The sequence below is a fragment of the Homo sapiens genome, chromosome 11 (genome assembly GCF_000001405.40).
Source record: "Homo sapiens chromosome 11, GRCh38.p14 Primary Assembly".
NCBI lineage: Eukaryota > Metazoa > Chordata > Mammalia > Primates > Hominidae > Homo > Homo sapiens.
Window position 1 is genome coordinate 77,288,732 of NC_000011.10, and position 17,282 is coordinate 77,306,013.

A 17,282-nucleotide genomic window follows, 5' to 3' on the forward strand; every position below is an offset into this window, starting at 1 on the left:
GGACACAAAAAACATGAAAAAGCAAGGAAACATGACAACTTCGAAGTAATGTGATAATTATCCAGCAAGAGATTCCAATGTAAAAGAAATGTGTGAAATGCCTACAAATAATTTAAAATAACAATATTAAATATACTCAATGAGATACAAGAGAACACAGATAAATAATACAAAGAAATCAGAAAAACAATTCAAAATCCGAATGAGATAATTCAATAAGGAGATATTAGTTCAGAACCTGAAGACAAGTCATTTGAAATAACCCAGTAAGGTGAAAGAAACAGAAGGAGGGGAGGGGAGGGGAGGGAAGCGGGAGAGAGAAAGAAAGAGAAGGAAAAGTGGAAGGAAGGAAGCCTGGCTGGGCACTGTGGCTCACACCCAGCACTTTGGGAGGCCAAGGTGGATGGATCATTTGAGGTCAGGAGTTCGAGACCAGCTTGGCCAACATGATGAAAACTCGTCTCTAATAAAAAATACAAAAATTAGCTGGGCTTGGTAGTGCACATCTGTAATCCCAAGTACTTGGGAGGCTGAGGCAGGAGAATCACTTGAACCTGGAAGGCGGAGGTTGCAGTGAGCCAAGATCGCACCACTGCACTCCAGCCTAGGTGACAGAGCAATACTCCATCTCAAAAAAGAGGGGAGGGGAGGGGAAAAGGAGGGAAGACGGAAAGAGACAGAGAGAGAAAGAGAGAGAGAAGGCAGGCCGGCTGGCCATAGTGGCTTATGCCTGTAATCCCAGCACTCTGGGAGGCCGAGGCAGGGGGTGGGGGGAATCATTTAAGGTCAGGAGTTCGAGACCAGCCTGGCCAACATGATGAAACCCCGTCTCTACTAAAAATATAAAAAATTAGCCATGCATGGTAGTGCACATCTATAATCACAGTTACTTGCGAGGCTGAGGCAGAAGAATTGTTTGAACCTGGAAGGCGGAGGTTGCAGTGAGCTGAGATTGCACCACTGCACTCCAGCCTGGGTGACAGAGCAAGACTCCATCTCAAAAAAGAAGGAAGGCAGGCAGGCAGGGAAGGAAGGAGGGAGCGAGGGAGGGGAGGGAAAGAGAGAGAGAGAAGGAGGGAGGGAAGGAAGGGAGGGAGGGAGGGGAAGGAAAGGAGGGAGGGAGAAGGGAGGGAGGAGGGAGGGAAAAGAATAAAGAAACCCTACATGACATTTTTGAAAACCATAAAGTGACCAAGTACTCGAATTTTGGATATTCCAGAAGAAGAGGTGGGGAAAAGCATCGAAAACCAATTTAATAAAATAATCACTGAAAACTTCCCAAGTCTTACAAGGGGTTCAGACATCCAGATAGTGGAAGCTCAAAGATCCCCAAATAGATTTAACCGAAAAAGGTCTTCTCCAAGGCACTTTATAGTCAAACTGCCAAAAGCCAAAGACAGAGAATTCCAAAAACAGCAAGAGAAAAGCATCAAGTCACACATAAGAGAAACCAGTCAGACTAATAGTGGATTTCTCAGTAGAAATCTTACACGATAGGAGAGGATGGCCTGAAAGAAAACAAAGACCAAATGGACCTAACAGATATATACAGAACATTTTATCCAACAATTACAGAATACACATTCTTCCCATCGGCACATAAAACATTCTCCAGGATAGACTACATGTTAGGTCACAAAACAAGTCTAAACAAATTTGTAAAAATCTAAATCACATTAAGTATCTTTTCTGACCACAATGGAAAAAAAGTAGAAATCAATAACAAGAGAAATTTTTGAAACTGTAAAAATACATGGAAATTATTTTAACAACTTGGTCCTGATTGACCATTGGTCAATGAAGAAATTAAGAAGAAAAAAAAATTATTGAAACAAATGAAATTAAAAAACACATACTAAAACCTATGTGATACAGCAAGAGGAATGTTGAGAGGGAAGCTTATACCAATAAACATTTACATCAAAAGTAGAAAGATTTCAAATAAATAATTATGCACCTCAAGGAACTGGAAAACCAAGAACAAACCAAAGCCCTTCTATTTCTCAACAGAAGACATACAAATAGCCAACAGGTATATGAAAAAATGTTCAATATCACTAATAATTAGGGAAATGCAAATCAACACCACAGTGAGACATTATCTTACCCCTGTTAGAAGGGCTATTATCAAAAAGACAAAAAATAAAGAAGCTGGCAAAGATAGAGGGCACTCTTACACACTGTTGGTGGGAACATAAATTAGTACAGCCCATAAAAAACAATATGGAGATTTCTCAAAAAACTAAAATATTGTAGTAACCATATGATCCAGCAATTCCACCACTTGGTAGTTATCCAAAGAAAGGAAATCAGTATATCAAAAGGATACCTGCATCCCTATGTTTATTGCAGGACTACGCACAATTGCAAAGATAGAGAACCACCCTAAGTGTCCATTAATGGACAAATGGATAAAGAAAATGAGCTTATATATGCAATGCAATACTCTTCGGCCATAAAAAGAAAATGAAATTCTGTCATTTGCAGCAGTATGGATGGTACTGGTGGTCATTATGTTCAGTGAAATAAGTCAGGCACAAAAAGACAAATATTGTGTGTTCTCACTCATGTGGGAGCTTAAAAAGTTGATCTCATGGAGGTAATGAGTAGAATGATAATTACCGGAGGCTGGGAAGGACATGGGGTTGCAGGGGGATGAAGAAAGGTAGGTTAATAAGTACAAACATACAGTTAGAGAGAAGGAACAAGTTCTAGTGTTTGATAGCATAGTAGGGTGACTACAGGTAACAATATACTCTGTATTTTAAAATAGCTAGAAGATTTGAAATGTCCCTAGTACAAAGAAATGATAAATTTTCAAAGCGATAGATATCCTAAATACCCTGATTTTACCATTACACATTCTATGCATGTATCAAAATATCACATGTATACAATAAATAAGTACAAACATTATGTACTGATAAAAATTTTTAGAAACTCTAATGTTTCCTTTTGTTTCTTCCATCAGCATAGACATTTACATATTTGAGAGTTAATATATAATTATTCATACTTGCTAGGAGCAGTGGCTCATGCCTGTAATCCCAGCACTTTGTGGGGCCAAGGCAGGCGGATCAACTGAGGTCGGGAGTTTGAGACCAGCCTGACCAACATGGAGAAACCCCGTCTCTACTAAAAATACAAAATTAGCTGGGCATGGTGGCGCATGCCTGTAATCCCAGCTCCTTGGGAGGCTGAGGCAGGAGAATTGCTTGAACCCAGGAGGTGGAGGTTGCGGTGAGCCAAGATGGCAACATTGCACTCCAGCCTGGGCAACAAGAGTGAAAGTCTCAAAAAAAAATTATTATTATTATTATTCATACTTGATGTGTTTTTGGTATCTGATCATACACATTTTCAATTTTATTAATAAATCTGCAAAATGACAAAAAAAAACCCTCAAGTAACATAAATCAAAATTCATTGACCTTCCAATGAGAAACAGACAAATCCAAAATTATAGTCAGAGATTTCAATACCCCTTTCTCAATAACAGTAAGCAGGATAGAGTAGACTTAAAAAACACTAGAATTGGAAAACAGAATTGAAAATACTAGAATTAAATTAGAAATTAATGAGAGTTGGAAAACTCCTAAATATTTTAAATAGCAACTTCTAAGTAACTCTGAGTTAAAAAAAATCAAAAGGGAAATTAAAACCTTTTGAACTGAATAGAAATGAAAACACAATATAGAAACATTTGTAAGGTATAGTTAAAGCAATACTTAGATTGATATTTATAATGCTAAATGCCCGTACTAGAAAAGAACAAAGATCTCAAAATCAATAACCTCAATTTCCATCTTTAGACAATCAGTAAAAGTGGAGCAAATTAAACACAAAGTTAACAGAAGATTAGGAATAATAACAATGGATAATTAAATAGAAAAAATAGGAAAAAAAATCAATGAAATCAAAAGTTGGTTCTTTGAGAAGACCAACAAAACTAATAAATTTCCAACCAGGATCATTAAGGAGATTAAACAAGAGAGAAATCACAAATTATCAATATCAGGAATAAGAGGGAACCATCACCACAGACCCTAGAGACATCAAAAGAGTAGCAATAAAGAATTTGGTACAACTTCATTCCCATAAATTCTATAGATACATGAAATGGGCAAATTCCTTGAAAGACAAAAACTACTGAAGCTCACTCAAGAAGGAATAGAAAACTTGAATAGCCCTTTATCTATCAAGTAAATTGAATTTTACTTAAATTAAAAATAAAAAGCCTTGTTAAAAAGCCTTGTTAAACAAGCCTTCCCATCAAGAAAAAGAAAAAAAACAACAACAACGGGTTCACTGGTGAATTCTACCAAACATCTATGGAAGAAATAATACCAATTCTATAGAAACTCTTACATTAGAAGAGAATGGAAGACTTTCCAAATCATTTCATATGACCAGTATCCTGACACCAAAACCAGACAAAGATATCCTGAAAAAAGTACAAACCAATATCCCTTACGAATCCAAATGCAAAAATTCTTAACATACATCAATACATACTGACCAAGTGTAGTTTTCCTAAGGACTGCAAAGATTATTCAACATTCAAAAATCAATCAACTTGGGGCCAGGCATGGTCACTCACTTCTGTAATCCTACAACTTTGGGAGGCTGAGGCAGGCAGACTGCTTGAGCCCAAAAGTTCAAGACCAGCATGGGCAACATGGCCAAATCCTGTATCCACAAAAAAATACAAAAATTAGCTGGGTGTGGTGGCACATCCCTGTAGTCCCAGCTTCTTGGGAGGCTGAGGCAGGAGGATTGCTTGAGCCTGGAGATGGAGGTTACAGTAAGCCAAGATCACACCACTGCACTCCAGCCTGGGCAACAGAGACCTTGTCTCAAAAAAAAAAAAAAAAATCAATAAACTTAACCATACTATCAAACTAAAACTATATGGCCATCTAAATAGATACATAAAATACTTCTGAGCAAATTCAAACTCCATTCCTGACAAAAACCCTCAGCACACTAGGAATAGAATGGCGAATATTATGCCTTTATATGGAGAATATATTAAAAGCCAATAGCTAACTTCAAACTTAATAGTGAAAGATTGATTGCTTTCTAAAGACTAAATGATTTTTTTCTAAGATCAGAAACAAAGCAAGGATGTCTGTTATCACCAACCTTGTTCAACATTGTACTGGCAGTCCTAGCCAGTGCAATAAGGCTAGAAAAAGAAATAAAAGGCATAAAGAATAGAAACTCTATTTGCAGACAACAATATTATCTATGTAGAAAATCTCCAAAATTCTACAAAAAACTTAGAATTAATAAGTGAGTTTGGCAAGGTAGAACTAGATGCAAAAATCAAAAATTTTTATAGACTAGAAATGAACAAATAGAAGGTAAAAATTTTAAATCACTATTTACATCACGAAACAGCAAAACATGAATGGGAAAACTGGTGAAATCTGAATGATATCTGAAGTTTAGTTACCAGTAATGTACTAACGTTATCTTAGTTTTAACGAATGAACCACAGTGAAAGGATAATGCTGGGGGAAACTGAAACTGGGTAAGAGTATACAAGAACTGTCTGTACTATCTTTGTAACTTTTCTGTAAATCTAAAATTATTCCAAGATGAAACATTTATTTAAAAATTAAATTTAAATGATGATTTACAATAGTAACAAACACATACTTAGGTATAAATCTAACAAAATATGTGCAGGATCTGCATGCTGAAAACTATAAGATACTTGATGAAAGAAATCAAAGAAGACTCAAGTAAAGACTCATAACAATACTGAGTCTTCTAATCTAAGTACCACTTTCTTGGATTAGAAGACTCAATATTGTTATAATCTCAATTCTCCCCAAACAGATCTACAGGTTCAACATGATTCCAATCAAAATCTCTGAGGACTTTTTTTGTAGAAATCAATAAGCTGATTCTAAGATTTATAAGGAAAGGCAAAGGAAATAGACTAGCCAAAACAATTTTGAAAAAAAATGTATTTTGACTCAAACTACCTGAGTTCAAGACTTAATATAAAGCTACAGTTACCAAGATAGCGTGGAATCAGCAAAAAGACAGACATAGAGATCAATGAAACAGAATATGGGTTCCAGAAAAAGGCCCATATATATATGGTCTATTCATGTTTGACAGAAGTATGAAGGATGGAGAAAGGACAGGTTTTTTGACAAATGGTTCTGGAACAACTGGATATTCACCTAAAATGAACCTCAATCTACAACTTTGCTTTTTTTTTTTTTTTTTTTTTTTTGAGACAGAGTCTCCCTCTGTCACCCAGGTTGGAGTGCAGTGGAAGGCGATCTCAGCTCACTACAACCTCTGCCTCCCAGGAGCAATTATCTTGCCTCAGCCTCTTGAGTAGCGGGGACTACAGGTGCATGCCAACACATCCAGCTAATTTTGTTGTTGTTGTTGTTTTTGTTTTTGTATTTTTAGTAGAGATGGGGTTTCACTGTGTTAGCCAAGCTGGTCTGGATCTCCTGACCTCAAAGGATCTGCCCGCCTCAGCCTCCCAAAGTGCTGGGATTACAGGCATGAGCCACCACACCCAGCCCACAACTTTGCATTCTTTGTAAAAATTAAATGGATCACAGACTTAAATATAAATCTAAAGCTGGCCAGGTGTGGCAGGTCATGCCTGTAATCCCAGCACTTTGGGAGGCTGAGGCTAGAGGATCACTTGAGCCCAGGAATTTGAGACCAGCCTGGGCAACATAGTGGGAGCCCATCTCTACAGAAAATACAAAAATTAGACAGATGTGGTGGCGCACACCTGTAGTCCCAGCTACTCAGGAGGCTGAGGCAAGAGGATCACTTGAGCTGGGAGGTTGAGGCTGCAGCAAGCCATGATGGGGCCACTATACTCCATTCTGGGTGACAGAATGAGACCTTGTCTCTAAATGAATAAATAAAACCTAAAGCTATAAAACTTACAGAAGAAAACATAGACGAAATCTGTGTCCCTGCTTTAGGCAAAGATTTGTTAGGTATAACACCAAAAGCATGATCCATAATAGAAAAAACATATAAGTTGTACTTCATCAATATTAATAACTTCTAGTCTTCAAAAGACATTCCTAAGAAGTAAAAAGGCAGGCCACAGATTGGGAGAAAAACTGTCCTATATTTTGATGGTACTTACACAATTATATGCATTTGTCAAAACTTGCAGAATTATACACTAAATAAGGGTGAATTTTAGTGTATGCAAATTTTATCTTAATTAGAAATTTCTTGGCCAGGCGCGGTGGCTCACGCCTGTAATCCCAGCACTTTGGGAGGCCGAGGCGGGCAGATCACGAGGCCAGGAGATTGAGACCATCCCGACTAACACGGTGAAACCCCGTCTCTACTAAAAATACAAAAAATTAGCCAGGCATGGTGGCGGGCGCCTATAGTCCCAGCTACTCAGGAGGCTGAGGCAGGAGAATGGCGTGAACCTGGGAGGTGGAGCTTGCAGTGAGCAGAGATCGCGCCACTGCACTCCAGCCTGCGGGACAGAGCAAGACTTCGTCTCAAAAAAAAAAAAAAAAAAAGAAAAGAAATTTCTTGTAAGTATATGAATTGATGTATGGATTATTTTTTTAATTAATTTTTTTTTTTTTAGACTGAGTTTCACTCTTGTTGCTCAAGCTGAAGTGGAATGGCGTGCTCTCGGCTCACTGCAACCTCCACCTCCCGGGTTCAAGCAATTCTCCTACCTCAGCCTCCTGAGTAGCTGGCATTACAAGCACGCACCACTATGCTCGGATAATTTTTTGTATTTTTAGTAGAAACAGGGTTTCACCAAGTTAGCCAGGCCGGTCTTGAACTCCTGACCTCAAGTAACTGCCCGCCTTGGCCTCCCAAAGTGCTGGGATTACAGGTGTGAGCTACTGCACCCGGCCAGATGTATAGATCTTGATTGGAACCTGTGAAAAGACTTTCTGGAGGAAATTGGTAGAAATTTGGTTATTAACTGATTTACATTCAGTTGGTTTAGTAAATTACTAATTTTAGGTGTGAAAATGATGATATGGCTGTGTAAAAAAAAATTCCTTTTTTGGCCGGGTGCGGTGGCTCATGCCTGTAGTCCTAGCACTTTGGGAGGCCGAGGCGGGCAGATCACAAGGTCAGGAGTTCGAGACCAGCCTGGCCAGGTGAAACTCCGTCTCTACTAAAAATACAAAAATTAGCCAGGCATGGTGGTGTGCGCCTGTAGTCCCAGCTATTCGGGAGGCTGAGGCAGAAGAATCGCTTGAACCCAGGAGACGGAGGTTGCAGTGAGCCAAGATCGCGCCACTGCACTCCAGCCTGGGGGACAGAGGGAGACTGCCTCAAAAAAAACAAAAAAAAAAAAACAAAAAAATTCCTTTAGAGTTTCACACAAAGTATTTACAGGTAAAATGTATGGTGTCTGCAATTCACTTTCAAATACTTCATCTAAAAGAAGAGAAAGCAAATATTGGAAGATGTTAACAATTATAAATATATGGGGTTATATTTTCCTGTATATTTTAAATAGTTCATAATTTAAAAAGTAGATGCTCTGGGCCGGGCGCAGTGGCTCATGCCTGTAATCCCAGCACTTTGGGAGGCCGAGGTGGGCGGATCACGAGGTCAGGAGATCAAGACCACGGTAAAACCCTATCTCTACTAAAAAATACAAAAAAATTAGCCAGGCGCGGTGGCTGGTGCCTGTAGTCCCAGCTAGTCGGGAGGCTGAGGCAGGAGAATGGCGTGAACCCGGGAGGCGGAGCTTGCAGTGAGCCGAGATCCCACCACTGCACTCCAGCCTGGACGACAGAGCGAGACTCCGTCTCAGAAAAAAAAAAAAAAAAAAGTAGATGCTCTGGAGCTCCTTGCCTAGGTTTCATATCCCAGCTTTGCCATATTTAGCTGTGCAACTTTAGGCAAGTTATGTAAGTATTCTGTACCTCAGTTTTCTCATCTTTAAATGTGGATGATAATGGTACATATCCATATAGTTTGTGGGGATTATTGAGTGAATCAATAGACGTGAAGAACTTAGTTCTGGAAATACTGTAAACTGAATGTTGGCTTTCAATATAATAATTGTTATCCATTCAGCACACTTTGAGCACTCAAATGACCAAGCATTAGGTTATGCGTCAAGGGCAAAGTGATAAGTCAAAGCTATCATTGATAAGATTTAAATATAGTGGAAGAAATGTATATTAGCAATTAAGTATAATATAATGTAATAACTTCTAGAATAAACATCTATACAATACACTAGGCAGCATGGAGAATAGAGTGATTAACCCAGCCTCAGAGCATAAATGAAGACATTTTGGAAGTTCAGGAGGGAGCTGAAAAAGACAGGGAAAATAAAGACTACCTACAGTTTTTTGTTGTTGTTTCGTTTTTTTAAAAAAAAAAAGATTGAAATAAAAAGATCTTGGAGATTCAGTTTAAGAAAAGGAACTGGGCACATACATTTGCCTTCCATTTCCTTGCAAATCATCTTTAAGTGACAGTAGAAAAGTATAATCAGGCCAGGCGCGCTGACTCACGCTTGTAATCCCAGCACTTTGGGAGGCCAAGGCGGGCAGATCACCTGAGGTCGGGAGTTTTAGACCAGCCTGACCAACATGGTGAAACCCCGTTTCTACTAAAAATACAAAAATTAGCCAGGTGTGGTGGCGCACGCCTGTAATCCCAGCTACTTGCGAAGCTGAGGCATGAAAATTGCTTGAACCCGGGAGGCGGAGATTGCAGTGAGCAGAGATGGTGCCACTGCTCTCCAGCCTGGGGTCTCAAAAAAAAATTTTTTTTAAAAACATTTTCTGGTTGACAATGGTTGAGTTTGTCTAAAGACCTGGGATAGATAGAAAGGGAATGGTCATGTTAAGATAAAGATTATGGAGACCAAACTTGTTTTGAAGTCTTATAGTGGCTGCTCTTAGAGACAATAGGTGACAAATGTTTCCTATTCAGATCTTAGTTAATCTCTTTAGGATCGGAAGGGTCTGGAAGAAAAAGATCTAGCTATGTTAACAGAGATTCTTTACAGATGCCACGCCCCCACCCCACAAAAAAACAGCTTTGAGGGCCATTTCAAAATATGGCAAAGAAACATATTTTGGGGTAAAATATTTTTTTCTTTTTTGACTTATATTGTTATGCCAGAGTCAGGTTGGAAAGAAAATCATGATATATAGGGTTAAATAAAACACATCTGATGAGAATTTATGGTTTGTAGGGCATGACTCTAGGGTTAAATAAAACCCATCTGATGAGAATTTATGGTTTGTAGGGCATGACTCCCCAGACCCCTTAGACAGGAATTTGGACAAGATAAAAAAAAATCAGCGTTTAGTCCTCACACTGGCCTCATATGAAAACCAGGTAATCCCTCTCACCCAGAGTATCACACATTCCCATCCTGGACCCTCTTTATGAGACAGGGGCCGGAGGTAGCAGTTGCTAGGCAACACCAACCACCCCACAGCTTCTCACCAGCCCCATAGAATACCATCAGCATCCCGATTATAAGAATTAGGTATTCTGTCCCATTAATTTGCCCAAAGATGGAAGAAATCCTAAATGACTATCTCACCCTCAAAAGTAGTAGTTACCTCACTTCCTTCAATTCCTTGCTCAAATGTCACCTTCTCAACAAGGTCAACCCTAACCACTTTATTTAATACTGCAATCTGCTCCCTCCTTCTAACTCCTCTATTGCACTCTACTTTTTTTCTATAGAAAATAAAACATTATATAATGTATTTATTTAGGAAGTTTACTGTTTATTGTCTGTCTTTACCTCCTAGAGCGTATGTTCCACATTTAACAGTAAGAGTTTATTGCTCACACATCTGAGCTAATGGGCTATCTGTTCTGCTGATCTGTTCTGCCTCAGCTAGAATGACTGGGATGACTTGGCTTTCCTTCATGTGTCACTCAACCAGGTTGGCCTGGGTATGTTCTCATGGTGTTGGAAGTTGTCCAAGAGAGTAAGTCCCAAATGCAAGCCCATTTCAAGCCTCTGCCTCACCGGATGTCTGTTCATATGGTTGAGCCCAAAGTCAACAATCAGCGCAGGTCACCTCATGGTGGTTGGTCACAGTAAAGTTACACAGAAAAAGGTGTGAACACAAAGAATGTAACTAAGGGAAGGGTGAACAGTTGGAGTCAAATAATACAATCTACCTCTCTATATGACAAGCAAAGTAAACTATGAGGCATAAAAGCAATACTAGAGACAAAGAGGGACATTTCATAATGTGAAAAAACAAAAATTTTAATTTGCAATTTGTAAGTACTATTAGATATGAGTTCTAAATTTCTCTTCAAAGAATCAATATGTCAGTATGTTCAATTCTTTGCCTTCTACTTTTAAACTTCCTCGTAAAGCAACCTTTTTTGATCACCTGCTCCATCCTGACTCATTCTGATTACCAGCTCTGCCCTGACTCATCCTGATCACCTGCTCCACCCTCACTCCCGCCAAACCACTCACCCCGTCACTCTCTCTAAATTAGCCAATTGGAATTAGTTTAGCCTGTGCGGTCTAACACTAGCCAATAGGGGAACGACACAGCAGCAGGGGCCACGTGTGTCAGGAATAAGAACCCCTTCCCCTCCCTTGTCCAAGTGTGTGCTCACCATTGCTCCATATGTAAGGGTGCACCCTTCTATAGAAGTATATTGCCTTGCTAAGAATTAAAAAGAAAATTTTATATTTGAGTGCTATTTCTTTTGCGGCACCGAAACTATAACAGTACCCAATCACCTAGTCTCTAAGGGAGAAATGGACAAATGCATAATCATGGTAGGAGATTTAACACACCTCTTAAAAAAAAAACAGAATAAGCAGAAAAAAAGTCTGTAAGGATATAGACGACTGTAAAAGTTGATTAACTAGTCTTAACATTTATAGAACACTGTACTCAACAAATGCAGAGTGTACTTTAAAATGGACATGGAATATTTATCAAAAATCACAATTGGTTTTAATAAACCTTGACATCTTAAGAATATATCTTCTGACTACAGTGCAATTTAACTGGAAATCAGTAAGAAAAACAAATTGCACATTTGGGAATTAAACACACAGAAACCTACGCATGGTCAAAGAAAAATCACAATGGAAATGAGAAAAAAACTTTCAGTTGGTTAATGATGAAACTACTGCATATATATAGAACTTGGTGTGACTAATTGCAAATACTGGGGTGTCCAAGGGCAGACGTTATGAACAAAAAGCTCTATGGGAGGATGGTAAGCTGCTTGGATATCGAATAAAAGGCAGCTTTTTAACCAGAATAATTACCACCACCATTGTCTACACACCTGCAGATACTTTGTGTCTAAGCACCAGCCAGCGTAGCCACGTTTACATGAAAATTCCTAATATTTAAGGGGAGATCGAGAAACACTGTTTCCTTCCCAGAGCTCTTCTCTGAATTCTACACTCATATATCCGACAGGCTACTGAAATCTCCATTTGGATTTCTCACAGGCACCTCAAAAGTAATATGTCCAAAACTGAACCCCTGATGTTTTTTCCCTCTAAAATCGATTCCTCCTGCAATCTGTCCCATCTCAGTAAAGGTCACCGCCATTCCCCAGCTCATGAGATCAAAACCCAAGGGTTGCCGCCCAGGATTGGCATAGTCGAAGCTGATTTTTATCCCCTTCGCCATTAACAACTAGAAAACTAGAAAATACACGAAGCCGCTACTGTCAGATACTGAACAGGAGGTCCAGGCCCGTAATCCTCGAGAGGGGACACAAACGACCCGACAGAGTGAGCGAACAACGTCAAAGGGCCTCAAGTTTGGCCGCCGACTAATAATACTAATAGAACTTCCTGCTTCTGGTGCTGCTTAGGGAGGAAGCACGGAACTGGGCACATTTACTTACCGAGACTTCCCAGTCCCAACCCAAATCCAATCTTCACGCCTGAGGAGACCAGCGTCTCTTAAGATGGACGCCTGGCTGGAAGGGCAGCCCGAGGGAGGCGGGGCGGGAGGGGGCGGCCTGGCGGGGCTGTGGGCGTGGTCAAGGACACCCCGTGCCAGAGCAAGGCTGAAGCTAAGGCCAGACCCCCAGCCTTGGCTCAGAGCCCCACCTTTTAAATGTCCGGTAAGGTATGCTCTCTTTGTTTTTGGTTTGGTTTGGTTCTTACAAAAAGAACTTGACTGTTTAAGTTTAGTCCTTGTTAATAACTTAGTTCAAGCATTACCAATTTTTTGTATCCCAGTTATTCATAAAATTGCCATATATATATATACATCTATCTATATATTTATATATTTTTTAAGAGACGGGGTCTTGTCGCCCAGTCTGGGCCTCAAACTTGGGCTCAAGCAGCCTCCTGCCTCAGCCTGAAGAGTAGCTGGGACTACAGCCCTGTGCCCCCCAGCCACCACGCCCAGGCTACCTCTTTATTTTATTTTATTTTTAACTATTTTTTCTGCCTTTTTAAAACAAATTTTTAATTTTTATGGGTACATAATAAGTGTATTATTTATACAACTCATAGTAGGAATACATGAGATATTCTGATAAAGGTATACAATGTGTAAGAATCACATCAGGAGGCCAGGCACAGTGGCTCACGCCTGTAATCCCAGCAGTTTGGGAGGCCGAGGCAGGTGGATCACCTGAGGTCAGGAGTTCGAGACCAGCCAGGCCAACATGATGAAACCCTGTCTCTACTAAAATACAAAAAAATTAGCCGGGCACAGTGGTGGATTCCTGTAATCCCAGCTACTCAGGAGGCTGAGGCAGGAGAATCACTTGAACCTGGGAGGCAGAGGTTGTAGTGAGCCGAGATAGCACCACTGCACTCCAACCTGGGCAACAAGAGTGAAACTCCATCTAAAAAAAAAAAAGAATCACATCAGGTACACTGAGTATCCATCACCTAAGCATTTATCATTTCTTTGGGTTATGAACGTTCCAGTTACACTCTTAGTTATTTTTAAAAATGTTCAATAAATAATTGCTGACTGTAGTCGCCTTGTTGTGCTGTCAAATATTAGATCCTATTTATTCTAACTATATATCTGTTGTACCCAGTAACCATCCCCACTTTGCCTTACCTTTTTTAAACCAGTTTCAACCACTCAAAGGGCCACAAATGGGCCTGTTTTCGCTTTTGTTTGTTTAATCTTTGATTCCTCTAGCCATTTCTCTGACTCTGACCTCGTTCCTGAGCTCTAGACCTTTATCTCCAACTGCCAGCCACTGGCCTTCAATCTGGCCGTCCTGCTGCAGACACCTCAAACTCAGTAAACCCTAACTTAAATTCATTATCTTTCCCTTCATGTCTGCTCCATCTTCTATGGCTCTAAATCACTAAATGACAAGATGTGAAACAGATGTCTCATCCTCAACTCCTCCTATTCCTTTGCAACCCCCCAACCCTCCACCTTACACAGAGTGACCAAATTCTGCTTATTAGGATACTTCCTATTTCGCCTAGTCATTATCTTATTGCATTTCAATGCCCACTAGGCCCTAATCATCTCAGTACATGCCAACCCAGCTTAATACCGCTACGTTAAGGTAGACTGCAGCAGACTCCCAAAGCGCCTCACTGTTTCCAGTTTACCTCTCCCAAAATCTAAGACCAACTGTTGATCTTTTAAAAATGCAAATCTGACTATGCCTAAAACACATTCCAAAAATTAAAGCTCCTTAAATTGGATCTCACCTTTCTCTCCAGCCTCAACTTGCCCCCAACTCTCCTCCATCACCACTTACATTGAAGCTTCAGCAAAGCAAACCTCTTGTTCTACTCCCCTACACCATTCTGTATGTTTATTCACGCTGTCCCTACTGGCAGGCTTATACACTCCCAAAGTTGACCGGGCTAACACTCCTTCTCTTAGTGTGAGGCTCAATTCAGGAAGCCTTCTTTGTTCAGCCTCACCCCTATTTCTCACCACCAGATTTGATTAACTACCTTCTCCTGTGTGTTCTATATATCCCTCCAAATAAACTTCTTATTACTATCCTAGCCACATTGAATATAATTACCTATTTTGTTTTGCTAATGTTTTAGTTTCTGCTTCCCCCTTCTAATTGTAATCTACCTGCGGGAGAGACAATATCTAACTGATCTCTTTATTCCCAATGCCTTCTACAATGCTTGGCACATGTCAGTCAATTGGTTGGTTACATAAATAGCCAGAAGCTACAGACCCATCAACCCTTAAAGGGAATTAGGCAGTTAGGCTGCATCTTTTCTGACCCAGCTGAATTCTCTGGAGCGTGCCTCCCAGTAACCAGTTAGAAGGATCTGGCAGTATCCTGAAGAGAGATTGTTAGCTTGGATGATGGGTCAGTGATAGTGTAGAGGGAGAGATGTCGATTGAAACTTGAGATATTTACCCTCTCCCTCCTAACTTCCATTCTGGACCCTAGCTTAACGCTTGACAGAACAGTAGTAAACTGTTGGCACCCACTGAGTGCCACAAAAACAATCTTTGTGATATGAAGATTTTTTGAAACTCCATTTTGACTGCTTCTTGAGAGAGTTTCCCTGTTTCCCTCCTCTCTTATCAACAGACAATGAAATAAGCTCTGGTGGTTGGTCCCAAGTTTGAGCATATACAGGCCTGATGCTGTTACTCCTGCTTTTAAAGGTACATCAAAAAGCAAGACAAAACTAAAGCAGGTAAAACAGAATATAAAAAATGGTACCAAAGAGTTTATCAAATAAGTGAAATTGTAACATTCTTATTTCAAAGTATATAAATATTCAATTAATCTCTGTAGGAGGCTTCAACCCTGGCTGTTAAAATCAGTAATGAAGGTAGACTTGATGACCTGATGTGGTTTCTTAAAAACCACAGGTTCCCACTAATATCTGGGAAAGATTTTCTCCCAGCTGTATTGTCCCAACAGCCAACAGAACTGACTCAATTTTGTAGGCTCATTATTTAGCTAATTAAATGATCCTTTTCCAGTAAATATTGTTTAAAGTCTGGTGGGTTTTGTCTAATCCTAGGCAAAAAGTGTAATAAACTCAAATAAGATTGTGTTAAGACTCAGTTTTAAAAAAAATCCTCTTTCAAAACTGCAAACTGTATGCTAGTCATTTCTTCAAAACTCCAGCTTTATTCTGGAGAGTAGTCTCTTAGTCTAATAGTTTCCATGAGGAGCAAACCAACTTCAGATAAAGTTTTTTTTTTTAGTAATCATTGTTGCATTATCATCTTTTGGAGAATTCTGCTAAAAATAACAATTCGCTGTAGTCCATAAGGCCCTATTTCAAATATTTTGCAAACGTGTATTCACACACACACACACACACACACACACACACACACACACACACCATTCGCTCTTTAAACATCTAAAATGGCACATGTTCACCTAGGCCTTCGTGTATAGGAAAGGTTTCTCAGCTAGTAATGTTATAAAAACACAGCCAATTTCCAACTTTCTCTGCTGCCTGAAGCCTAGGCAATAGTCATCCAACCCTTTGTAGCTTTCTCATTATTACAAGAGCAATTTTATCACTCCTTGGATTGAAGAATGGATAGTTAAGGGTTTCTGTTGTTGTTGTTGTTTTGTTTTTGTTTTTGAGACAGAGTCTCACTCTGTCGCCCAGGCTGGAGTGCAATGGCATGATCTTGGCTCACTGCAACCTCTGCCTCCTAGGTTCAACCGATTCTCCTGCCTCAGCCTCCCAAATAGCTGGGATTACAGGTACCCACCATCACACCCAGCTAATTTTTGTATATTTAGTAGAGATGGGGTTTCATCATGTTGGCCAGGCTGGTCTTCAACTCCTGAACTCAGGTGATCTGCCCGCCTCAGCCTCCCAAAGTGCTGGGATTACCGGTGTGAGCTACTGCGCCCGGCCTAGTCAAGGGTTGTTTTAAGAGGCTACTGCGCCCGGCCTAGTCAAGGGTTGTTTTAAGAGGCAGTAATTTAAATCTACACAATGATAAAAGTGACATAAAGAAAGGGATAAACTCAGGACCTGTGGAAGCATATGGCACCTCGCTGTTGAGTGCCAGCTTCTGATTTCTCTTTCTTGGCAGCATGCTGAGGCTTGCCAGACCCTAGTCAACAGGGCAGCAGCAGTGTATCAAACCCAAAGTTTGGACATTATATTTGCTAAATGCATGTATTCTTGTTTCAAGGAGTGTCACTTTTATTAAAAGTAATGAATCTCCTTTTTCCTTTTCTTTTTTTTCTTTTTTCTTTTTTTTTTTTTTTGCGATGGAGTCTCGCTCTGTCACCCAGGCTGGAGTGCAGTGGCGTGATCTCGGCTCACTGCAACCTCCACCTCCTGGGTTCAAGCAGTTCTC

The 17,282-nt window shown here is 40.0% G+C and overlaps 1 protein-coding gene across 4 annotated transcripts in view; it reads right to left on the reverse strand.

Annotated features, from left to right (window-relative positions):
• GDPD4 (glycerophosphodiester phosphodiesterase domain containing 4) overlaps positions 1-12,968 on the reverse strand; it is an 85,142-nt gene extending 72,174 nt beyond the window's left edge. For 3 of the 4 annotated variants that reach the window (XM_011544834.1, XM_047426557.1, XM_047426558.1), the window contains exon 1: positions 12,874-12,968. The gene's annotated coding sequence lies outside the window, so the exon portion shown is untranslated. The remainder of the gene's footprint in view (positions 1-12,873) is intronic. The other variant, NM_182833.3, reaches the window with a different exon arrangement.
• Positions 12,969-17,282: the final 4,314 nt, after the last annotated feature.